At 47.6% G+C, this 25,420-nt stretch overlaps 1 protein-coding gene across 73 annotated transcripts in view; it reads right to left on the bottom strand.

Annotated features, from left to right (window-relative positions):
• Positions 1-25,420, bottom strand: part of CEP164 (centrosomal protein 164) — a 91,489-nt gene that overhangs the window by 34,438 nt on the left and 31,631 nt on the right. For 24 of the 73 annotated variants that reach the window (NM_001271933.2, XM_005271457.2, NM_001440949.1 and 21 more), the window contains 6 exons: positions 16,836-16,994; positions 16,291-16,425; positions 15,323-15,400; positions 7,363-7,749; positions 4,998-5,078; positions 3,038-3,121 (listed from right to left, as the gene is read on the bottom strand). In NM_001271933.2, the coding sequence (NP_001258862.1) occupies positions 3,038-3,121; positions 4,998-5,078; positions 7,363-7,749; positions 15,323-15,400; positions 16,291-16,425; positions 16,836-16,994 (924 nt within the window). Of the gene's footprint in view, positions 1-3,037; positions 3,122-4,997; positions 5,079-7,362; positions 7,750-15,322; positions 15,401-16,290; positions 16,426-16,835; positions 16,995-22,211; positions 23,898-25,420 lie in introns of all 73 variants that reach the window. The other 49 variants (XM_047426590.1, XM_047426589.1, XM_047426599.1 and 46 more) reach the window with 4 other exon arrangements.

The raw sequence follows: 25,420 nt of genomic DNA, 5'->3' as shown, positions 1-25,420 counted from the left end.
CCTTCTTGTTTCACCTATATTTCTGTGAGAAACTGAACTATCCCCCACTGACAGAGAAAAGGGGATCCTCGGGGAAATACCCAGATGGACGGTCCTCTTGATAGAGAGGGTCCTCTTCCTTAACTTTTTTGCTCCAGAAAAGGAAGCAAAGGATCCAGATGAGGAAAGCAGCCAAGGTCAGCATTCTTCAGAAAGGGGAGACAATCGCACATCCTAAGCCTCTGGCCTAAAATACCATTTCCCTCTCCTTAACTTGGCTCTAGGGTCTTGTTTTCATTTAAGATGCAGTCCTCAGTTAAATAAACCATGGTGTATTCATACAGCAGAAGACTGTGCAGCCAACAAAAAGAATATGGTAGATCTAAATGAAATAACTCAGAAATAAGTCAAGTGCCTATTCTCAAATTTAAAGAGCACATCACCATGCAGTTTAGGTAGCACAATCCCAATTTTTATGGGAAGAAAAAAGATAAGAGAAAATAGATATATGCTTATATGTACACAGAAAATTTTCTGGAAAGGTACATGAAAAATGTGAATGGGAACTATCCATAGTCCCTGCCTGTGTAAGGCTACAGGAAGCTGAGAACTTGGATCTTCTGTATTACTTGAAACAATTTTATAATCACTTTTCTAATTCATTATGAAATGTATTATGTTTGCCGAGCACGGTGGCTCATGCCTGTAATCCCAGCACTTTGGGGGGCCAAGGCGGGCAGATCACCTGAGGTCAAGAGTTCGAGACCAGCCTGGCCAACATGGGGAAACCTCATCTCTACTAAAAATACAAAAAAAAAAAAATTAGCCGGGCATGGTGGTGGATGCCTGTAGTCCCAGCTACTTGGGGAGGCTGAGACAGGAGAATCGCTTGAACCCAGGAGATGGAGGTTGCAGTGAGCCAAGATCATGACACTGCACTCCAGCCTAGGTAACAGAGGGAAACTCCATCTCAAAAAAAGAAAGAAAAGAAAAGAAAGAAAGAAAGAAATGTATTATGTCTAATTCATTATAATCGTTTTTTGTGGTGATGGTTGTGAAGGTATATAATACGGTAAAACTTATCAAATAAATGTGCAGTTTATTGTATGTCAATTTTATCTCAATAAAGCTGCATTGCAAATATTTTAAATGAACAAAAACTAGTATAGCTCAGTTATAAGCCTTCTGCCCTGGTCCTGCCCTTGAGAGAGACATGGAAAATACGGCAAAATGGGCAAGAGCGCACAGGAAGAACAGAAGATGGCATCTACAGTTCTGTCCCATGAAGGGGCTGCTGCTCTCTCCTCCAGCTCCACCTCCCCATCTCGACCCCTCCACCCCCAGAGATGGCAGACAGCTGGAAGCTGAGCCTGCAAAGGCTTGGCTACTTGGTCAGCCACACTGAGCACTGTTACCCACATCACAACAGGCAGGTCACAAGGTATAGCTTAGGGGAGGGGTCCCCAACCCCCAGGCCACAGAGCAGGGGGTGAACAGTGGGCAGGCAAGCAAACATTATCACCTGAGCTCCACCTCCTGTCAGATCAGCAGTGGCACTGGGTTCTGACAGGAGCATGAACCCTATCGTGATCTGTGCATGCAAGGGATCTAGGTTGCGCACTCCTCATGAGAATCTAATGCCCCCACCCCTGGCCCCATCTGGAAAAACTGTCTTCCAAGAAACTGGTCCCTGATGCCAAAAAGGTTGGGGACCGCTGGCTTAGGGCTTCCTCTGCCAGGGATGGCCACCTCAGGAGGCTGCACTTCGTGAGAACCAAAACCAAGTCAGGTCCTGCTACTGCGTTACAGCAAGTGGCATAGCCCAAAAAGAGGCTGCTGGCCACATCAGGTCTTAGGTAGACCCAGAAATCTGTCTTTTTTTCAAGCTCCCAAGTAATTCTGATACTGGCCAGGTGTTGGACCCCAAACAATGGAATCCACCTCCACTGCACTGACTCAGTAACTTTCCCACTCACCTACTGCCAAAGGAGCCTCACAATTCGCCTGCTCCAAACCTTTCCTGACTAATCCCACCTTCCTTTGACTGTGCCTTCACATCTCTTTAGCACTGCAAACAGGATGACCAAGATCCAACAAGGACCTGGTAGCTGGACAGTGGCCCAGAAAGGTTTTATCAGCCAGAGCTGAGAGGAACATGTTGGGCTCAAATGCAACTGGCCTGCCTCTAGCACACATTTCACTAAAGGCTCCAAGGCTGCCTCTAGCACACATTTCACTAAAGGCTCCAAGGCTGGGTTCGTATTAAACATCTTGTTTGTTTCACCCAACAAATTTCCATTTTGCCCAAACCAAATGTTCCCTTACACTTGCAGAGATCATGTGCCAGAACTGCTCTTCTAACCAATCCACAAAGAAAAAGAAAAGTCTTCTTGGCTTGAAGCTCCTTAAGGACAGGATCTCTGTTTGAGCCATCTTTGTACCACACATGGGTCAATCATCATCCATGCCCACACAGAGCTAACATCTGGCAGGGGAGACAGACAAACAACCATCAAACAAAACAAGAGTGACTAAACGGAGCAAAGAAAGGGAACAATTCATCCCATTTGAGGAGGAGGTGTCAGAGGTGAACCTCCAGGACCAAAAAAGAGCTTGCTGGGAAAAATGGGAAAGCAGAGTGGCAGGCAGAGGCGTGGCGGAGGTGGAGTGTGCCCCAGCAATAGCGAGCAGCAGATCCAGCTGGTGAGCAGCAGGTGGGCTGGGCATGTAAAGAGGATGAATGGGCCAGGATGGGAAGTGCCTTGAAATCTACAATCTACACAGCGCTTTGCACATGAGCAGACAGTCCACTCTTCAGCTGCTGAATGAGTGGATAAATGGATAAATACATGGTGGAAGAGGGCTTTAATTTATAGCAACAATGCAGGAATGGTCAGAAGCCCCGTGAAAGGCAGTCAGGACCATGCCTTAATGAATTAGAAGGGAGAGGACTTACAGAAATGCACCCTGTGATGGGCAGGGCTCAGTTCTGGGTCATCCGAAAAAGTTGTGAGGGAAAATGAGGCCCCAGCTCAGCCCACCACCCACAGAAACTCACCTGCCGACAAGCTCCACCCAGGACTGGGGAAAGCACATCAACATCCAGCAGGTGCTCCGAGATCCGGCTGCGAAAACCGAAGTCCTGGAGACAGTGGAGATGCAAAGGTCAACTCTGCCTCTGTCACAGTCAACACCCACCAGGCCTCTTCACTACCCCAACTCCACTTTCCAGAAAGATGTCTATTATGTGCCCAGCTCTGTGCCAAACATTTCAACATCTACTAATTTCATCTTCAAAATGACACTGTGACTCAATGGAAAGATATGTCAAGCAAGTATGGTAAAATGTTAATTGTGGCCTATAGATGGTGAGTATGTGGGTATTCACTGTACAATTTTTTTAATTGTTCCATATATTTGAAACTTTTCATAAGAAAATTATGGGGAAAAAATAACCCTGTGAGACTAAAACTCTTTCCCTCATCCCACAGATAAGGAAGCAGGTTGGAGAGCACATATAACTCGCCCAGGGTCACACAGCTGATAAGCAAGGGGCCTGGGGGTCAGATGGGGCCCCGCACTGACTCCAAAGCCCAAGCTCTTTCCATGACACATGCTGCGAAGGATGTCACTTTCCAGCTGTCTCTCCCTCTCCGTGGTGCCCAACCAGGCATGAGAAGAGATGCCAACATCCCCAGAAAACCTGTGGGCAGTTTGGAAATGAGCCTTGGTGGGCTCTTTCCAGCTCGTTCCATCCCCTTTCCATACAGGTTCCCCTCTGGACAATGAGAGTTAATTAGTGATGATTCCTGCACTGGCTTCTCTTTGGGACAGGCAGCAAGTGCCCACACTGGTGCCAGTTTGTTGCTGTCCTTTGGCTGCCACAGGCCCACGATCCCACCCTCTCTGAGCCTAAGATCCCTGCTGGGCTAAGTGAAGGACTGCTACCCAACAGCATGTTAATGGGGAGAGTTCTGTCACATCAGCCCTGATTAATGGTGGGACGCCCAGACAAAGTCTGGTCCTGCTGTCCACAGCCTCCTCCATCTACTTCCATAGAGAAGAAAAACGCTGATGGGCACGTTTCTCCACATGGGTGACTGCTTTAGAAGAGCCAGCCCCCTTGCTTCCGAGAGAGCTGTGACATGGCGATTCTTCATGGACAGTTTTTGCCAACAACGACTTTTTGCCTTCCCTTTCTAGCTTGTGGGTTTTTCTTCTTTTTTGGTGACATTTTCCTTTCAGTTTGAGTTCTACTTCACTTAATGCAGCTGCCATCTGCCTTCTAAGCCCATGGCTCAGTGAGAGGCGAGCACACACAGCTTCCTAATTCTTCTGCACCCCCTCATATCATTACTGTTCATCCCTGACCCTCTCCCACTAATCCCTTCCCTTTGATCTGCCTCCTCCAAACAGATGGAGGATGGCTTCTGGAGGTAATGCTCTGCCAAAAAGCACCCTGAACTATTCCCCTTAGGTACAGACCTGGCAAATGAAACCAGGATACAGCAGGCTGGGTAGAAGGTCTGGGACAAAGAAACCATGGATGCCGGCATTCCAAGACAAAGCCTTAACTTTAGAAATGAAGCCATGGCATCCCTCCTGGCCTGAGCCTGGGGACTGTCCTCGCCACAGCTCAGTGATCCCATAAACACAAACACACCAGTCTCTAACCTCCTAGGCTCATGGTAACTCACATGATCACACAGGCAACTCACACAATAGTGAGAGTAATAATAGCTAACATTTTAATGTTATTATATATATAATTATATTATTAATGTTTATATGCTAACATTTTACATTCTCTGCCTCACTTTCTTCTCACAACAAACCTATAAAATAGGAAGTATTACCCTTAGTTAATGGGTTGAGAAACTGGAGCTAGACAAGACTCAAGCATGAGTTCGAAATTCTCCCACTTATAAGCTGCGTGATGCTAGGCAAATTACTTAACCCTGGAGGCTCACAAATCTATGCTCTTCACCACCACTCTACTGCCCTCATCTCAAACTCACCAGGCCATGGAAGGACTTGGGGTCAGAAGCTATGGAGTCTGAGAGCTGTGGTTCCTTCATGTGTTCACTAATTTCCAGTTCCTGGAGAGACAGACCCACAGAGAAATCCCTCAGAGCAGAGCACAAAGAGTCATGGTCCCTACCCAGGGAATTCTGTTCAGGCCATGGGGCCAATATAGGGCTCAGGTCAAACTGAAATCCACTCTTCTTGAAAACCTAAACGAGGCCTGTGGACCCCGCCATTCTCTCTGGACATGTGCACAGCCTCCGCCCCACTGGGGCTGGGCAGCCCGCTGAGTAGAGACAACCACACTCTGAATCAGATCAGCAAGGACTTGCATGAGTAAGGGGAGCCAAGAGTAGCAGAGACGGTTAGAAAGGTGGCAGTACCGAAGTCTGATGCTATCCTAAAAAACAGAAGGAGAACATCTTTCCCAGGAAATAGATAAAAGCTCTTTTTTTTTTTTTCCGAGATGGAGTCTCGCTCTGTCCCCCAGGCTGGAGTGGCGCCATCTCCACTCACTGCAGCCTCCACCTCCCGGGTCCCAGCAATTCTCCTGCCTCAGCCTCCCGAGTAGCTGGGATTACAGGTGCGCATCACCATGTCCAGCTAATTTTTGTATTTTTAGTAAAGATGAGGTTTCACCATGTTGGCCAGTGATCTCGAACTCCTGACCTCAAGTGATCCACCCGCCTTGGCCTCCCAAAGTGCTGGGATTACAGGCATGAGCCACCGTGCCCGGCCGATAAAAGCTCTTTAAATGAATTCCCTCATCATCTACCTGGAGGAGGAATAGGACTAAGGGTTGAAAAATCTAAAAGGCCAAAGGATCTCCCCATTCAGGCTTACTTCTGTCCATTTTGGTCACTGACCTGATCTTGCCAAAGCAACCACTCCCATGTCTTGGGATCATTCAGAAAAAGCCACAAAAATGGACGAGAAGGGTCTTCTTGTCACCTAATCTACCTACGCTGGGGCAGAACACAGCCAAATGTGGTACCTACTGCCCCGACCACCCCCATCTCGTCACGACACACAATGTTCTCTCTCTATAGAAACTCAGACTGCTGCAACCACGACTGCCCCCAAACTGATGTCAAGAAGTACAAGGGAAGGCTGGGCACAGTGGCTCACGCCTGTAATCCCAGCACTTTAGGAGGCCAAGGCGGGCAGATCACCTGAGGTCGGGAGTTCAAGACCAGCCTGACCAACATGGAGAAACCCCGTCTCTACTAAAAATACAAAAAATTAGCTGGGTGTGGTGGCGCATGCCTGTAATCCCAGCTACTCAGGAGGCTGAGGCAGGAGAATCACTTGAACCCGGGAGGCGGAGGTTGTGGTGAGCTGATCGCACCACTGCACTCCAGCCTGGGCAACAAGAGTGAAAATCCATCTCAAAAAAAAAAAGAAGTACAAGGGGAGCCAGATGCAGTGGTTCACGCCGATAATCCCAGCACTTGGGGAGGCCGAGGCGGGCAGATCGAGGTTGAGCTCAGGAGTTCAAGATCAGCCTGGGCAACATGGCGAAACCGCATCTCTACTAAAAAATGCAAAAATTAGCCAGGAATGGTGGTGCATGCTTGTGGTCTCAGCTACTCAGGAGGCTGAGGCACGAGAATCGCTTGAACCTGGGAGGCACAGGTTGCAGTGAGCCAAGATTGCACCACTGCACTCTAGCTGGGGTGAAGGAGTGAGACTCTGTCTTAAAAAAAAAAAAAAAAATACCCTGAACTATGATGAGGTGGGCAGATCACTTGAGCTCAGGAGTTAGAGACCAGCCTGGGCAACACGGTGAAACCCTATCTCTACAAAAAATACCAAAATTAGTTGGGCATGGTGACATATGCCTGTGGTCTCAACTACTCAAGAGGCTGAGGTAATGCTCTGCCAAAAAGCACCCTGAACTATGATGAGGTAGGAGGACTGCTTGAGCCCTGGAGGTCAAGGCTGCAGTGAGCCAAGGTCACGCCACTGCACTCCAACCTGGGCTACAGAGCAAGACCCTGTCTCAAAACAACAGAAAAAAAAAAAAAAAGTACAAGAGGGAGGTAGGAAGCAGGAGAGGATGTAAGCAGGAGAAAAGAAAATGAACATTCCAGGAGGGTGCCAATGGAAAAGCAAATTTCTTCTCTCAATTTCGAGTGCCAGCAGGTCTGCAGCTTCATTCCGGATTTTACTGCCTGCTGGGTCTGGGCATATTTGTCACAATTAAGGGCTCTGGCTGATGCTGACAGCCCAGTGCAGGGACACGCAAATGAAGCTCCTGACTCAGTAATAAAGATGTGGGGATAGGACCCTGCCCAGGGCTGAACAGAGCAGCAGAGGGCTACAGCCAACCCCTGCCTATGGGATACAGTGACTTACTTGGCTGGCGTCTGAACTGCCCTCTTCCAGAGCAGAAGCCTTCTTCTTTGGCTCCTTGGCTGCCTCTTCCCTCCTGGAACCCTCCTCTCCTGCATCTACTGTGTCCTCTGGTGCTTCCTTTTCAGAGGCTTTGGCAGGCTCACTGCCTGTAGGGTCTGCCTTGGGGGTCACCAGATTCCTGCAAATCTTAGGTTCACTCTTCTCATTTTCCTCTTTTTCTGGAAGACCAGGTCTTGCTCCACTTCCCTGTCGCCCTTTGCCAACAGCACTGCTCAGACTGCTGTCTGCACCTGGGCTGGAGGGCTTGCAGGGAGTAGGGGGACCGGCAGCATCTGAATCCAGAGAAACATCCTTCTTCTCCTCTGGCTGGCTTGTTCTCAGAGACTCCTAGGGAGCAACAGACCATGTTAGAAAGGAAGACAAAAGGAATGTGCAAAAGGAGTTGAGACATGCTACAAGATGGAAATGCTATTCCCTGACTCCCACAGGCCAGTGCCTGAGTTCTGCCCCAATGGTTATCAATCACCCAGTTGTTAATTTTTTTTTTTATTTTTTTGAGACAGAGTCTTACTCTGTCGCCCAGGCTGGGGTGCAGTGGTGTGATCTCAGCTCACTGCAACCTCTGCCTCCTGGGTTCAAGCGATTCTCGTCCCTCAGCCTCCCCAGTAGCTGGGACTACAGGTGTGTGCCACCACAGCTGACTATTTTTTGTATTTTTAGTAGAGATGGGGTTTTGCCATGTTGGCCAGGCTGGTCTCAAACTCCTGGCCTCAAGCAATCCACCCGCCTCAGCCTCCCAAAGTGCTGGGATTACAGGCGTGAGCCACCACACCCAGCCCACCCAGCTTTTTAAAACACAGATTCCTGACTCCACCCCAGATCTACAGAATCAGAATTTCTATAGTGATTTGGATATACCCAAGCTGATCCCCATCCACTGGTGGGCCTGGAAGTCACTACACTGGACGATACAACTCTGTCACCACCTGTCATGTCCTCAAGTAATAAATCTGTCTTGCTCCAGCCCCATTGGCCACATCAGAAGACTGCAGACTCCAAAGCCAGTGTTTATTCAAGATGATGATGGAACATCATGTGACAGAAAGGCAGCAAAGTCTCAATTTTCTATTTTTCATGTTTAATAGGCAACAGGGGAAAAACTATCAGGAGAGTCCTCTTCGCCCCTAAAGCCTCCTGGGTACATGCTGATCAGCAGCAGCCTCGGAGACAGCATCCTCACCGAGCACTGCCGACTTGGGTCCCTCTGAGAAGCAGATGCCAAGTTAGGGTTAGATGTACAAGAGATTTAAGGGAGATGTCTATAAAGGATAAAGGAAGTGAGCAGAGCCTCCAGACTTTCTCTAGTTCTGGGAAAGTCTTGGTCAGCCCAGCAGAGTCGCCTAGTAGGCTGCCATTAGAGGAGTCCCATATCTGCAGAAATGGCTCTGCTTTCAGACCCCTGTTGTGCCCATCACCAGTAGGAAACACTTCCATGAAGCAGGGTGGATAGAAAGGTCAGTGCTGGAGGCTGTCAATCTGCTAAGCTCCCCTTGGCAGGGTCTGAGCAGTGCGTCTCTACAGTGGCCAAGCCCTGCTCCTCACATACAAACCTCACTTTAAAGACTAGTAAAAACCCAAGGCTGCTTCCACTAAATTCCTTAGAGTCAGTCAAAAGAGAAAAATAAAACCCTCCCTTGGAAATACAGCCAATAATCTCTGCTGGGCTTGGGCTGAGAAGCCTTCCTCCTAGAAAACATCTGTGCTAACACTTGGGCTGCCAGACTGAATAACTTCCAATGAGGGATTTTTAAGACTTCCTGATTCCCTGTTCTGAAGACTCAAGGACCATGATGACTAGAGAGTGGAGAGGTCCAAGAAGAAGCCCTAAGCATGGCATTTATTGATGCTCTGTTAAAGTGTCTGCTGTGCCCAAAGAAATGACCCTCTCCCTGCAAGCCTGAGAGCCCACTGACAAGCTAACCCAGGCTTCCTAGGGATGATTACACAGGTCAGTAAAGCAGAGTCATTCAGAGCTCAGCTTTGGAGACAGAGGCTGCCCAGGCTCAAATTTTGGCTCCACACTTACAGATGTGTGACCTTAGGCAAATTATTTACTTCTATGTGCCTCAGTTTCTTTCACTAAAATACTGGGATGTAGTAGTGCTTACCCCATAAGGAGCGTTGTTGGGAAGAATAAACGAATTAGCACTCATCAAGTGAGTTAAGGAACTCAGAGTTGTGACTGGCACACTGTCAGTGTCCCACGAATGTTAACTTACGTTATGTAATGAGACTTACACATTCATTCACTGAGCACATTCTATGTGCCAAACACTGCCTTGGGAATCCAAATATGGCCAAACCATAGATCCTGCCCTCAAGGAATTGAGCTAATATTGAGAAAAGTGAAATGTTCCCAATGGCTTTGGTTATGAGCCTTGACTGCCCAAAGCAAAGAGGCCACTAGACACAGTGGTGATACTGTCATCAGGCCCAACCCTGTCCCAGAAAGAAGTGCAGAAGGGAAAGTAGAGAAGGCACGAAGGAAGCTCACGCCTTGGCAGCATGCATGCAGGTACCCGCCAGTGCTACCCCTCCCAGCATCCCTAACCTCCAGCATGGAATAAATCTGCCAGGACCACTGGGCTAAGAGAAGGGAGACAAACTTCTCCTCTTCAAGTGAAGCAGCTTCAGGCTGAGCCTAATGGCCTTCTCATCTCTATACAACCAAAGGCCAATTCTCAGCAGAAGCTCATATCCAGTCTGTGGGGTTCTAAGGACTCCAAGAAGGAGGTGGGAGTTGCCTGGGGTGGGCAAAGGGTGCCGGGCCAACCACACCCCCTCACTCGGCAAGCAGGGCCAACCCACCCTGGCCAGGCTCATCCCAAGATTAAAGAAAGGCTCCCCCCGGCTTGAAGTTGGGAGTGAAACCTGGTCCTAAGAGGGCTGCCTACCAATACACCTTAGATGCGAGGGCAAAGGAGGTATCAGACCATAAATAGTCCCTACTGCCTTCAGGATAAAATTTAAACTCCTACTTGGCCCACAGCCCTTAAGGCCCAGCTCCTGCCTGCCTCTCATGGCTCACCTCCAGGCAAACCCTCAGACACCCTCTCCTCCCACCTGTGGATAAACATCACACTAACTCAGTACTTTGCCATGCAATTCCTAAAATACACATACACACATACTACCCCGACACACTCCCCCTGGTCCTCACCACATCACCTCTTCCAGGATGCCTTTCTTGATCCCTGGGTCAGCTGACCTGAAATGAGCCTTCCCCATCATATACTTTAATAGCTATTGTATTTGCTAATTTCCTTATCTGTTTCTGTCACCAAATTAGCTCCCTATTGTCCTCAGTACTTAGTTTCTAGCACATAACAAGTGCTTAGTAAAGGTTTGTTGACCAAACTGTTAAATATGAATAAGTGTGTCATAAAAAGATCGGAGCTGAGGCTTCCCTTCCTAGCCTGCAAAAAGGAGATGTAATATTTACTTTACACGGTTATATAGGGATTAGACTATATTTATTACAGTGCTTATTAAATGAAAAATAGCTAAGCAAATGTTAGCTATTAATTAACTATTCAAGATGATGGAAAAACAAGTAACCTATCAAAAATCAGAGAATACAGGACACAGGTAGAGATTCCCATCTTTGAGAGGATCAGGAAAAATAACTAACGGGTACTAGGCTTCATGCCTGGGTGATGAAATAATCTGTACAACAAACCCCTATGACACAAGTTTACCTATGTAACAAACCTGCACAGGTACCCCTGAACTTAAAATAAAAATTAAAAGGAGAGGATACCTAATGCTAAATGATGAGTTAATGGGTGCAGCACACCAACATGGCACATGTATACATATGTAACAAACCTGCACGTTGTGCACATGTACCCTAAAACTTAAAGTATAATAAAAAAAAATTAAAAAGAGAGAGATTCCCATTCTTACACGTGAGAGAATATAGCCAAATTGCAATAATCTTAGGCCCAGCTCAATTCTTATGCTTAAATTCTTCAAAAGAAAATTTTCACATGATGGGCTCATGCTAGTCTGCCTTACCTAAAACAGTAAAACGTGGGTAGTATTAAAATGAATGACCTTGCATTCTCTGCACCATGTTGACTAACTGCAACCACAGGACAGCACCTCAAGGGTGGGGAAAGCAGAAGGAGGTGAAGCATTTGTTGTAGATTATCCACAAATGGATGTACATGAGCTGAGTGTCTGGAGAAGCCATCCAACTCCATGAGCATCTCCCTTCACCTGGCCCCTGCCCCCTTGTCTCCTGGCCCAAGGCCTGAAGCTCCAACCAGGTATACACTCTGGGCACCCAAGTCCAGTCTCCTGCCCTGGGCTCTGTGGGAAATGCAGGCAAAGGCGGGGCCTCAGTCTCAACACAGCGTTGCCCTCAGCTCATCCCTGCTCACATTCCTTCTGTCTCCTCCTTTCACAGCCCCAGGTCCTTGAGCATCTCAAGGCACATTTCTGCTGCTTTTTCAAAAAAGACTTTACCATCTGCAGGAGGAGAGAGCAGGAGAGAGCTTATAAGAATCATTTCATGAATATTTAACATGCCCCCCAAAAGCCATGAGGTTCTTCTGCCCAGAGCACAAAGACAAGGACCCCTGTAATCCACACAGCACAGGGGACAGGGCATGAAGGATAAGGAGCTGAACCTATGTCTGTGCACTGACCGTGTTCTGCAGAGACCCCCATCAAGCTGATCATCAGTCCAATTTATTTTTCAGATTTATTCCTGCCCAGTTGGTCTCAATTCTTTGCACAGCTCCCCAGTGTTGTTAGCACTTTCCAATCGCACTGACATCATCCTGTTATTTCTAAGCCCAGGCTCCCTCCTGCTCCTTTGATCCACTGATGGGCTTTTCACCAGCACCACATGGCCACATAAAGTCTGCTCGCCTACCCTTCAGCCTCCTGGATTTGCTCGCCCTGTTCAGTGTCGGTTCCATGAACCTCTCTCTCTTCAGTCTGTAATAGACTTGAAGTGGGTTTAAGTTGGAAAGCAGGAGAGGAGGGAGGAGACGAGAAGAGATGCATTCTTGCCATCCTACTGCCCTCTCATGGAATCATGAGCAAAGTGACTGCTCAGTGAGACAGGCTAGAACTAACCTCAGAAGTCCATCTCCATCGTAAGCTGTCTGGGACACTCAGGAGTGGGGAAAGGTGGGCAGTTCAGAGAATCCAAAGACTGTAAACTGAGACAAAAGCCATTTTCAAAGAGCAGGGACCAAGCAGAGGCAGCACTGGCTATCCTGAAACCCCCCATTTACCCCCACCACTAACACTCCCAACAGGAAAAGCCCTGATTCCTGCCTTAAGTTAGAACATAGGAATCCAACACTCCATGTGACAAAAAGAACTAAATCTGCGGGGATGCTAGAGACAGGGGTAGGAGGTGTATTTAACACCACCCACTCCAGACATTTCCCCTCATCACACTGGGGTGCCTATTTATATTAAAGAGGTTATAAAAATGTTTAAAAGTCCCCACTCCCCCCAAAGAAGCACATAGTCATCAGAAGGAAAGCTTTTAGAAATCCACCCTTCAGGCTGGGCACGATGGCTCACACCTGTAATCCCAGCACCTTGGGAAGCCGTGGCGTGCAGATCACCTGAGGTCAGGAGTTCGAGACCAGCCTGGCCAACATGGTGAAACCCCGTATCTACTAAAAATACAAAAATTAGCCAGGCATGGTGGCGGGCGCCTGTAATCCCAGCTACTCAGGAGGCTAAGGCAGGAGAATCCCTTGAGCCCAGGAGGTGGAGGCTGCAGTGAGCCAAGATCATGCCATTGCACTACAGCCTGGGGGACAAGAGTGAGAGACTTCATCTAAAAAAAAGAAAGAAAGAAAGAAAGAAATCCACCTTTCAAAGAAGAAAAAGCCTTTTTTGTTGACATTTACAATCCATTATGAAGTAAATGTTAACAAGCCCAAGGTCAAAGTAAATCATGATCAATCCACATCAGGATCTTCCATCCACCAGCTGACAGCAGGGACCAAGTACCCACTCTATCCAGAAACTGGAAAAGCCAAGTGAAGAAAAAAATATGACACAACCTGCCTGGACACTCTCTCTGTCCCGAGGTGGCTCATTCACTCATTCACAAGTTCACTCTCTCGATTGTTGAACAAAACATACCCAAGCACTTCCTATGTTTCAGAGGCAGCAGGCTAGTTGCTTCCTGGCCATACAGAAATGAATAGGGCAGAATCTCCAGCCTCAACTTGCTCATTCTCATAGAGATTGTCTTCTTCCTCCACAAGCAAATAAGTCCTCTGACACCCCTAGTCCTATACATGGTCAACCTTCTAGGCACAAAGCCTGAGCATCTCCTTTGATCAATATAGGTCTTACTGGTGGTGGAGAAGAAAATAAAGTTGTCATTTCAGGGAACTAAACAGATTGAAGGCTTTAGATTTAATCCTTCCAGACTAGGCCCCACTCAGAAGGAACAGTTTCAAAGCAGACCTATATCAGCTTGATAATAAAAACGGGACACTTAGAAAAAAGTGTCACATTTGGCAAGAAATTGTAAAGTCATAATCAAAAGGTATCTGACTGTGCAGAGCCAAAATGCTGAACAGTTTCTGAGGTTACAGGCAAAGTCTAACTACAAAAAGAGTCCTAGGCTGGGCACAGTGGCTCACGCCTGTAATCCCAGCACTTCGGGAGCCCAAGGTAGGTGGATCACTTAAGCCCAGGAGTTCAAGACCAGCCTGGGAAACATAGCAAAACCCCATCTCTACAAAAAATAGCCGGGTGTGGTGGCGGGCGCCTGTGGTCCCAGCTACTTGGGAGGCTGACGTGTACTCCAGCCTGGGCAACAGAGTGACACCCAGTCTCAAAAAAAAAAAAAAAAGCCCTGTCCAATGGCTAGACTTGGGTCACCCACAACTCAGGTCTCAAGTACCAAATCAGGGGCTATCAGCCAGCACATCTGAAACTTCAAGTGGCCTGAGACACCAATCCTGGCTCTTAAGGTAAAGTGATTTCCAAGAAACAAGTCAGAAATAATAAGGGATAATGAGAAAACAAATTTAAATTCAGGATATAAGCACTTCTAAAGTTTTACAGGCCAGTTTTGTGATCTTTCTAATAAAGTGTGAGTGACTTGTTTGATGTTAAGGTATTGAAAGTATTTAAAAGAACTTGATATATTAGACTTGTGAAAAGTTTAACTGATTGAGCCTGCAACAAATATTTAAATATTTGGGGAAATCTAATTGTTGAGTTCATGATTCATTGGTTGTATAAATACTTAGGGAATATTTAGAGAAATGTTATATTTAAATGAATACACTGGACACTAAACAAAGGATACATGGTAGGGAAAGCTCCTTTCTAAGTACAAAAACACATAGCTGGGCACAATGGCTCACACCTGTAATTCCAGCACTTTGGGAGACCAAGATGGAAGGACTGCTTGAGACCGGGAGTTTGAAACCAGTCTGGTCAACAGAGAGACCTCATCTCTGCAAAAAATGTAAAAAGTAGACAGGCATGGGTGCGTATGCCTGTAGTCCTAACTACTCAGGAGGCTGAGGCAGAGGATCACTTGAACCCAGGAATTCAAAGCAGTGAGCTCTGTTCACACCACTGTACTCCAAGCTGGGCAAAAGAGTGAGGCTCTGTCTCTTAAAAAAAAAAAAAAAAAAAAAAAAAAAAGCATTGGAGGTTTTAGGTATTACAATAACATAATGAGTGTTGATGTTTGTTTGTTTAGAGGCAGGGTCTGGAAGGGACAGGAATCCATTCATTTATTCTTGTCCTTCCCCAAACCCCAGAAATCTCATCTGGAAGGACTGGGACAAAATGGTTCTTTTTCCAAATATGCATTACAACAAAGTAGCAGGGCTTAATAAAAACAGGAGGGATATGCCAGGCTGACACATGTGCCTGTAGGGATTAGGGCTCTTACCTCATACTCAAAGTCACCCCCCAGTGCCCCAATGTCCAGGTGTAGGTTCCTAAGAGGCTCACTTGAGCTGTGGACACTCTAGAAACAAAAATGATGACAAGTGGTAACTCTGAAGAAACTGGTCAACCCAGGGTGAGGGGTGTGCAGAGGGAAAAGTGGGGCACTGCTGAGCTGACAGGCGGGCCCAGGCAGGGCTTCAGAGGACTCAGAGCAGGACCACCACTGAGGCAGCCTCACTAAACGGCTCTCCATCCAGCGCAAACTATGCTGTGCAACAAGCAAGTGGCCAAGGTGCTTTCTGCTGGCTGTACTTTCTGGATCAGATCTAGAAGACATAATAGACTGCTCAAGAAATGAAGCTGTAGGCCAAAAAAACTTCTTGCTTTTTTAAAAAGTAGCACAGAGATCAGCCAAAGGTGGAAACAACCCATATATATTCATCGACAGATGAGTAGATAAACAAAATGTGGCATATCCATACCATGGAATATTATTCAGCCTTAAAAAGGACCAAAGTTCTAATACATGCTACAACATAGATGAAGCTTGAAACATTATGCTAAGTGAAATAAGCCAGACACAAAAGGACAAACATTGTATAATTCCACTTATATGAAGTACCTAGAATAGGTAAATTCATAGACACAGTAAGCAGATTAGGTTTCCAGGGATGGAGGGAGAGGGAATAGGAAGTTATCATTCAATAGGTACACAGTTTCTATTTGGGATGATGAACAAGTTCTAGAAATGAATAGTGGCGGCGGGGGAGTGCAGAAAAAAAAAGAAATGGATAGTGGTGTTGGGTGCACACATTGTGAAGGTAATTAATACCACTGAATTTTAACTTTAAAATGGTTAAAAGGGCAAATTTTATGTTACATATTTTTTCTATCACAGCAAAAACATTTTCAAAAGGAAAAAATATGGCACAGAGGGTTTCCAGGCCAGGGAGAGGACTTCATCATTACCTGGTTGTCACTTTCCTCCTCATCCTCCTCATTGGTTTCTTCTCCTAAACCCAAGAGGCTGAGAGCAGTCTTGTCCTCATATATGGAGCCCAAGAGACCCTTTGTATAAGCAGAGGTCTTGAGACCCTGTGAAGGCTTCAAAATAGAGAAGGACAGTCAAAGGACTCACTTGGAAGACCTTTGGAATGACCTTTAGAATGCTCCTCCCCACTCTCTATGTCAATGTCTCCCAGATCAAGTGCCACCATGTCCATGAAGCTGACCTGGCGACTGCAGCTCACATCAATGACTCCCTTTGCCTACTCCTACTGCCTTGGCTGCAGAGACTTGGAAATCAGCACTGATGTCCCTACAGCATGGGTCTATCCTCCACAGCCCAGAGTCCACATTCATACAGGTGCGAATTACATTTTCCCAACTGGATTACGAACTCTGAGGACTCCACCGATTCTGTCTATTTCTCACCCCTAGGCCATAGTTCCTGGTATGGCACACGGGAGGCCCCACAGGAACTACAGACACTGAACGCAAGAGAACGTACTTACCAGCATGAGTTCTCCAAGCTGACGTCCAGACTCCACTGAGCTCCCCAGGCTCACGCTTTGAGATCCACGAAGAGCAGAGGGTGGGGTATCCACAAGACCTCGTAAAGGAGCCAGGCCCCCAAGAGGAACATGAACTGGGGCTAATGAGGAACCCAAGGCCTGTGCAACAGAAAACATCTTGTTACAACTCAAGAAACCAGGTGGCTCTGGGAGTGTCGGAGACAGATATAAAAATAAAACATCTAAATCCTGCACGCTCAAATTTAAACCACCTCCGCTCAGAGGCTGCTAATGAAACACAACATCCAGAAATTACCATTGTGCCAACTGTGTGAGAAATCACAGGCTGGTTTCCTGATTCTCATAAGTCTCATGCTGTCTCACAGTAAACAGTTCTTTTACATCTGGCAGATGCTGCGTGGGGTTCTGCTCTCCTTTCAGAAGCCATATAGGAGGCCGGGCTCGGTGGCTCAGTCCTGTAATCCTACCACTTTGGGAGGCAGAGCCGGGTGAATCACGAGGTCAGGAGTCTGAGACCAGCCTGGCCAATATGGTGAAACCCTGTCTCTACTAAAAAATACAAAAATTAGCCGGGCGTGGTGGCGGGTGCCTATAGTCCCAGCTACTCGGGAGGCTGAAGCAGGAGAATCACTTGAAACCGGGAGGCAGAGGTTGCAGTCAGCCGAGATCACGCCACCGCCCTTCAGCCAGGTGACAGAGCAAGACTCTGTCTCAAAAAAAAAAAAAAAAAAAAAAAAAAGCCAGGCGCAGTGGCTCACGCCTGTAATTCCAGCACTTTGGGAGGCTGAGGTGAGTGGATCACCTGAGATCAGGAGTTCAAGACCAGCCTGGCCAACATGGTGAAACCCTGTCTCTACTAAAAATACAAAAATTAGCTGGGCGTGGTGGTACATGCCTGTAATCCCAGATACTCAGGAGGCTGAGGCAGGAGAATCACTTGAACCCGGGAGGCGGAGGTTGCAGTGACCCGAGATCACACCACTGCACTCCAGCCTGAGCGACAGAGCGAGACTCTGTCTCAAAAAAAAAAAAAAAAGCCATATAAGAAGGATGCGGGAGGGGAAAGCAGAGACAAATCCTCATCTACCAGAAGAATTCTCAGTTGATAAAGTTTAAAACTGATGAGTCAAGAAAAAGCAGTCTAAGTGTATTATTTACAAAGATGGATGTAAACACCACAACAGAATGGTTGCCTTTGAGGAGAGCTCTGTACAGTGAAGTGCTATACTTTCTTATATGCCTTTTAGTACTATTTGACTTTTTTAACTACGGACATGCACTACTCTGATTAAAATCTAAGGCCAAGGCATAGTGGCTCACATCTGTAATCCCAGCACTTTGGGAGCCCAAGGTAGGAAGATCACTTAAGGCCAGGAGTTCAAGACCAGCCTGGGCAACATAGCAAGACCCCATTTCTACAGAAATATTTTAAAGATTAGCCAGATGGGGTAGCATGCACCTGTAGTCGCACCTACTCAGGAGGCTGAGGAGGATGGACTGCTTGAGCCCAGGAGCTGGAGGCTACAGTGAGCTATGATGGCACCACTGTACTCCAGTCTGGACAACAGAACAAGACCCTATCTCAGACCAGCCTAGGCAACACAGTGAGACACTGTCTCTACAAAAAAATTAAAAAAATTTGCTGGACATGGTGACACACGCCTGTGGTCCTAGCTACCTGGGAGGCTGAGGCGGCAAGATCAATTAAGCCCAGGAGTTCAAGGTTATAGTGAGATAGAACCACTGTGAGATATAACCACTGCACTCCAGGCTGGGAGACAGAGCAAGACCCTGCCTCTAAAAAATAAAAATGACCCTGTCTGGAAAAAAAATCAACACTAACTACAAAAAAAATACACATGAGCAACAAAAGAAGGACTCTCTCCCCTCTCCACTGATGAGGAAGGTGGCTGAAAGGAGCCTTGCCGAAGGGCAGTAGTGGGGCTGACCAGGTCCCTTCTTTTCCCTGTTCTCCTTCCTGCAAGCAAGGGCTGGGGAAAGAAATCAGGCTACGAGTCAGAATTCGTGAGACCTCCCGCTACTCACAGACTCTCCAATTCTCAGTTTACTCATCCGCAAGATGGAGATGATGTGTGCCTTGCCACCTGACTAGGTGTGCAGAGAAGCTCAAGGAGATGAGTGCTAGGGGCCTTTGTGAGTGGCCCAGGGCTACACCAGCATTATAAAATTGCCACCATCACAGGGATTCACATTACAATAATTTAGGCTTATCAGAAGCAAGGATGGCAATCTGGTGACAATTTACAAAGACCCCTTCAAAATTCATTTCTCAAACTTAAAATGTCTAAGATGACACAAAAATTCCAATCCTCCCTAATCCCACAAAGACTGAAGAGAGAAAAGGAAACCCAGAGGCGGTCAGGCTGAGGTTCAGAAGATCCATCTTCTCACCTGTAGCCTCAGCCTAGGGGCCAGACCGGTGGGTGGGTTCCCAGCAGGGCCCATTTCTGCATCAGATGCTCATCAGGAAAGTAAGGTGAGAGACACTCCTGAGCTTCTGCAGGTCCACAATCATCTGGCCTGTTGTAGAACATGTTTGTGAAGGAGAAAACGAGCTGATAATCGTAACACCAGCCAGCAGTGCACTGGCTAAACACCTTCCGTACAATGTCTTATTTTACTCTCACAACCACCTGAGACTGGCTCTGCCATTATCCACAGTCCCCATACGAGCAAACGGAGGTTGGTGAGGTCAAGAACCCTGCCCAGGCTGGGCGTGGTGGCTCACGCCTGTAATCCCAGCACTTTGAGAGGCTGAGGCAGGCGGATTACCTAAGGTCAGGAATTCAAGACCAGCCTGACCAATATGGTAAAACCCTGTCTCTACTAAAATACAAAAATTAGCCGGGCATGGTGGCAGGTGCCTGTAATCCCAGCTACTGAGGAGGCTAAGGCAGGAGAATCACTTGAACCTGGGAGATAGAGGTTGCAGTGAGGTGACATCATGCCATTTCACTCCAGCCTGGGTTACAGAGTGAGACCCTGTCTCAAAAAAAAAAAAAAGAACCCTGCCCAAAGTCACAGAGCCAGTGAGGGGCAGAGATGGGATTGGAACCCAAGGCTATCTCTAAGACAGTACTTTATACCAGCTCTGGCTGTGGCAGAAAGAAGAGCCTAGGACATACATGGTCCCTGACACCTATAACCCCAGTACTTTCGGAAGCCAAGGCAGGAGGATCACTTTTAGGCCAGGGGTACAAGACCAGTCTGGGCAACACAGTAAGACCCCATGTCTACAAAAAAATAATTTTTAATTAGCTGGGTATAGTGGTACACATCTGTAGTCCCAGCTACTCGGGAGGATTGCTTAAGCCCAGGAGCTCAAGGCTGCAATGAGCTACGATCACACCATTGAACTCCAGCATGGACAACAGAGCAAAACTCTGGTCTCTTAAAAAAAAAAAAAAAAAAGGCCGGGGGAGGGGAAGAGCCCAAGAAAGCTTCTTCAAGGTTAACTAGGCAAACCAGGCATGCCCCTCCTGGTTTCAGCCCTTCAAACCAGCCTATGTATCAGCAAGCAAAATTATCCCCACACTGTATTTATGGAAATACAGACTCCTAACATGGCTGGCTAATTTGCTAACATGCTGGGGGCTTGAGGGAGGGAGACAAGCATGCTGAGGGCTTTGTTCTCCCAGGCCTTGACCAAATCAGCGATTAGTGGAGAAATTATACATTCCTGGCTCCTAGCTGATCATCTTCTATAGATGGCCATTAACTCTGAGTATGGGGCTATGCGTGGAGTTGTCCTTCAGAGCAGATAGACTTACTGCCACTGGGCTAATTAAAACTTTCAGGATAATCTGCAGCTTATCCGATATTTATAGTGCTACAGTAGTTATTAAAGCTAACAGAGAACCAGTGCAAGCCAGCAATTAGGAAGCAGAGGGAACAACTGGATAAAGCCACAGCTGGGCAACAACAAAAGAATAGCTGGAGAAATTCAGATTGATCCCCATGGTCTCTGATCCAACTTGACTTCTGAATGAAGAATATAGTGACTCTTTAAAGGGACAAAGGTAGAATGATAGGGCAAGGTCAGCCATTTGATAAATCCCAGTAGAGGAGGAAGTGAACTCAAGAGTGACGTCACAAATATGGTCTACACAAGCCTGACACAGGTTATCCATGTGGTTTTCTGGGGACCCTAGGAGGCAAAGAGCAGAAGCAGCTCACTGGATGGCAGAGAAAGGTTCTGGCCTCCGTCTCTCATAAGAATATTAGCTCTCAGCCCAGGCACGGCAGTTCACACCTGTAATCCCAGGACTTTGGGAGACTGAAGCAGGCAGATCACTTGAGGTCAGGAGTTTGATACCAGCCTGGCCAACATGACAAAACTCCGTCTCTGCTAAAAATACAAAAATTAGCCAGGTGTGTTAGCACACGCCTGTAGTCCCAGCTACTCAGGAGGCTGAGGCACAAGAATAGCTTGAACCCAGGAGGTGGAGGTTGCAATGACCTGAGATGGCACCATTGCACTCCAGCCTGGGCAACAGAGCAAGACTGTCAAAAAAAAAAAAAAAAAAAAGAATATTAACTCTCTAATCAGGTGCAGTGGCTCATGTCTATAATCCCAGCACTTGGGGAGGCCAAGGCAGGTGGATCACTTGAGACCAGGAGTTCGAGACCAGCCTGGCCAACATGGCAAAACTCCATTTCTACTAAAAACACAAAAAAATTGGCTGGGAGTGGTGGTGAGCACCTGTAATCCCAGCTATTTGAGGGGCTGAGGCACGAAAATCACTTGAACCTGGGATTCAAGCGATGGAGGTGCAGATTGCAGTGAGCCAAGATCCACTGCACTCCAGCCTGGGCAACAGAACAAAACCCTGTCTAAAAAATAAAATAAAAATAAAAAATAATATTAACTTTCTAGTTCTGTCTGATTTCGAGAAGAAATAAAGTTCAGAGCTTTGGGGTAGGCTGCCTATTTCCAAATAGGAAGGACCTCTCTCTAGAATCAGCTGATAGGAAAAACTTCCCAAATCCCAGGAAGGTGTTTATATCCTGCACGAATGCCAGGATTAGCGACGTTCTGCTCACCCGCAAAACTGATCATGTTCAAAGCACATGAACCACCCATGAATTACAATTACAGCCAGGGAAGGGAAATCAGAGATACCCTCAGCCCTATCTTGCAGGTGATGGAGTAGAAGAAACTTCAAGTATGTGTCATTCCATAAAATGGCCATTTGGGTAGTTAAAGGGCCAATAGTTACCACGGTAGGGTGGGTAACAGGAATGCAGGCCTGATGGCTGTGGTAAGACATCAACTCCACCTGCTCCCTCCCTGCCAAGTTTAGGCCTTTAGGCCATGCTCACTAAGAAGCCTACCTGGTTGAGATGCTGCATCTTGCCTGGCTCTGTAGTAAGCCCTCTGCTGGAGCTCTGCTGGACTAGCCCCTGCCTGAGGGTGCTGCTGCTTGGCTGGAAATGGGCTTGCTGAGAGGCCTCTTGCCAAGCAGGGGCGAGGGCCACCTCCTGAGGATGTTCCAGCAGCTCTGGCTCCCATGACAGAAACCTCGAGTCCCTCTCCATGACTCTGATGGCCTCGTGCTCACCCTCACTAGACATCCTAGAAGACTCAGCTGCCATGCAACAGACTGTGCTGGCGCTGTGTCTGCACGGCATGTCCTGCATGCTCTCAGGCAGCCCCAGGCCCTCCGGCCACCTGGAGATCTTGACCATCTGCAGGATGTGCTGGTAGAACCTCTGGTCCTCAGAGTAGTCTTCACTTTCTGACTGCTCCTCGTCAGGGCTCTGCATGTGGGACATGTGAGGATCTAAGAAGGGGCTGAAGTGTTGATCTCTGAGACCCGAGTCTGACTGAGCCATACCCTCCTCAGATCCCCGTGAGCTCTGCAGGTTCCAAGGGAAGTTGTTCACCTCATCCAGGACAGGAGAGCCCAGGTGTGAGGCCAGGTTGCTGTTGCTGCTGCTGCTGCTGCTGCTCTCCAAGTCAGGCCCAGACAAGCTAGGCTTCTGATCTTTATAAGGGAGCTCTGCAGACCCTAGGGCCTGTCTCTTCTCACTGGCAGGAGGCTCCTCGGGAGCCCTCCCTAAAAGGGGATTCTGAGCTGGTTCTGATGCCAGGGTTTCAGGTGGTATTAGCAAGAGACCCTGAGGTAGATCTTCAGCTGAGGCCCCTAGAGCCTCAGGGTCACTGGGCTCTGTTTCCTTGCAGCTTCCTGGGATATCCTTATTGACAAGCTTGGAGACCTGTTCCATCCACAGTCCAGGAGGTTCTCTCCTCCTCCTCCCGCTGCCTATGCTCCCACCTTCCCCAGGAACTCCCTGCCAGCTCAGGTCTTCAGTAGGGCTGCTATCTAACAACAACTTGCTCTTCCTGGCAGGCAACATGTGGCCGGAAGAACAAGAGGACAGGGAGGGCTCCTCCTCAGGGGATGACATGGGAATGGGGCTTTGGCCCTTGTCCCCTCCAGGGCCAGTGGGGCTCAGTTTGGCTAAGCTGTGGCTGTGCTGCTCCCCTTTCAGTGGCAGGCCTTTGATGGCTTCAGAAAGCTTTGAGTGGACAGAGGCCTGGTTCCTGCTTTCTACCACATCCTGCATATTTTGGAGAAGCCCAGTGTTCTGAGGGGCTGGAGTGCCCAGTTTCTGCTGCCTGCTTCTCATTTCCAGCTCTTCTGTTTCAGGATCTGAAAACCCCAGGTAGATTTTCTCTGTCGCCTTCTGGAGTTTCTCCAGACCCTGCTGATCACCTAATTCTCTCCTGCATTGGGCTGGGGCCCTGCCTAAGATTTTCTCCATGTCAGCAAAGACCTGGTGGATTTGGGAAGGTTGGCCTTTGGAGAGTGGCTGCAGCTTTCTGGGAAGGGCACCCATGAAACGCCAGGGAGTGTCACCCAGCATGCCTGGGCTCTTTCCTTTGTTATAGGATCCCTCACTTATAGCCTGCATCTCTTGATCTAGGTCCAGATCAGCAAGCCCAGGTGCTGACGGAGGAGACAAGCTGCAGAGAAAGGATGAAGGAGGCAGAAGTCCCTCCTCAGGCTGCGTTTCCTAGATGGGTATATAAACATGCAGAGAAAACGAAGACAAAGCACTTCTGATTTACACTTGCTACCTCAGCCCTGGGCAAGCCCTCAGCAAAAACCCACCCTCTATTTAAACCCTAAAACTTAAAGTATAATAAATAATAAATAAATAAATAAATAAATAAATAAAATCAATAGCAAAAAAAAATAATAATTTAAAAAATTAAAAAACTAAAAAATGAAGTAAAACACAAACTGAAGAGGGAAGAAAAGATAAAAACTCCCTTGGGCTGAAAATATGTTGTTTTCTAGGCTCCAGTTTCCTTATCTACAAAGAGGAGGTTCGACTAGATCAATGGTTTGCAAACCTTGCTCCATGGAACCTGGGAAGTTCAGTACCTCGGGGTACTATATTGTGCATGTGACAGAGAAGAGGCGTCACAAAGACCCACACTGCCAAGTTCAACCAAAGAAGCTCCATTTCTTTTTTTATAAGCTGGACCTCTATAGAGGAACTGACTTGAAAACAGGGCTCTACCACAAACTACAGTCTGAAACTCGCCAACCAGATTATCCCTAAGATACTATCCAGCTCTCAGATTCTGTGATTGATTAGTTTTATAAAATGCACCAACCTTGAGCCGTGTGTGGTGGCTCACACCTGTAATCCCAGCACTTTAGGAGGCTGCGGCGGGCGGATCACTTGAGGTCAGGAGTTCGAGACCAGCCTGGCCATCATGGTGAAACCCCATGTCTACTAAAAATACAAAAAATTAGCCGGGCACGGTGGTGGGCGCCTGTAGTCCCTGCTCCTCGGAAGGCTGAGGGACGAGAATTGCTTGAACCCAGGGGGCGGAGGTTGCAGTGATCCAAGATCGTGCCACTGCACTCCAGCCTGGGCAACAAAGCAAGATGCTGTCTCAAAAAAAAAAAAGAAGAAGAAGAAGAAGAAGGAGAAGAAGAAAAGTCCACCAACCTTACCAAGGACACCCGGAAATTTTTTAACAGGGCGCGAAGAGAAGCATAACAAATGACCCGAGACTTGAAAACTCAGTCTAGCATTGTCTACCAAAGGAACCAGTTGGTATTGCTTGAGAGACCGCCACATGGTCACAGACCCTCTGAGCTAGAAAAACTTCTAAAAAATCAACCACTCCTCTACAAACATTCACACTGAACCCCACCTGACTGTGAGTGCACACCTCCAGACAGTCCAAACCACTTGCATCCAGGCTGCCTGCCTGGCTCAGAGCTGTCCCCTGGACAAACTCACATTTGAGGCACCTGTCCTGAGCCCTAAGAACCAGACTGACAGCCCAGGGCTGTCCCATTTTCTTCATTTCCTGAAACCACGGAGGGAACTCTTTTTAACAGAGGGCTCTAAGAATCCAATCACACATCTACATCTCGGTCCTTTACCCAGCTCTCCACCCCAGAACCCTCACTTCATTCCGTCTCCTGCCTTTCGTCAAGCCACAGCCTGCCCAGATGCCTGACTACCACTTCAAATAATCCTGGGTCCATGAAAAGCCCTGTGGCCACCTTTTG

This window comes from Homo sapiens, chromosome 11 (genome assembly GCF_000001405.40).
Source record: "Homo sapiens chromosome 11, GRCh38.p14 Primary Assembly".
NCBI lineage: Eukaryota > Metazoa > Chordata > Mammalia > Primates > Hominidae > Homo > Homo sapiens.
This window is presented reverse-complemented; position numbering and strand designations above follow the sequence as displayed.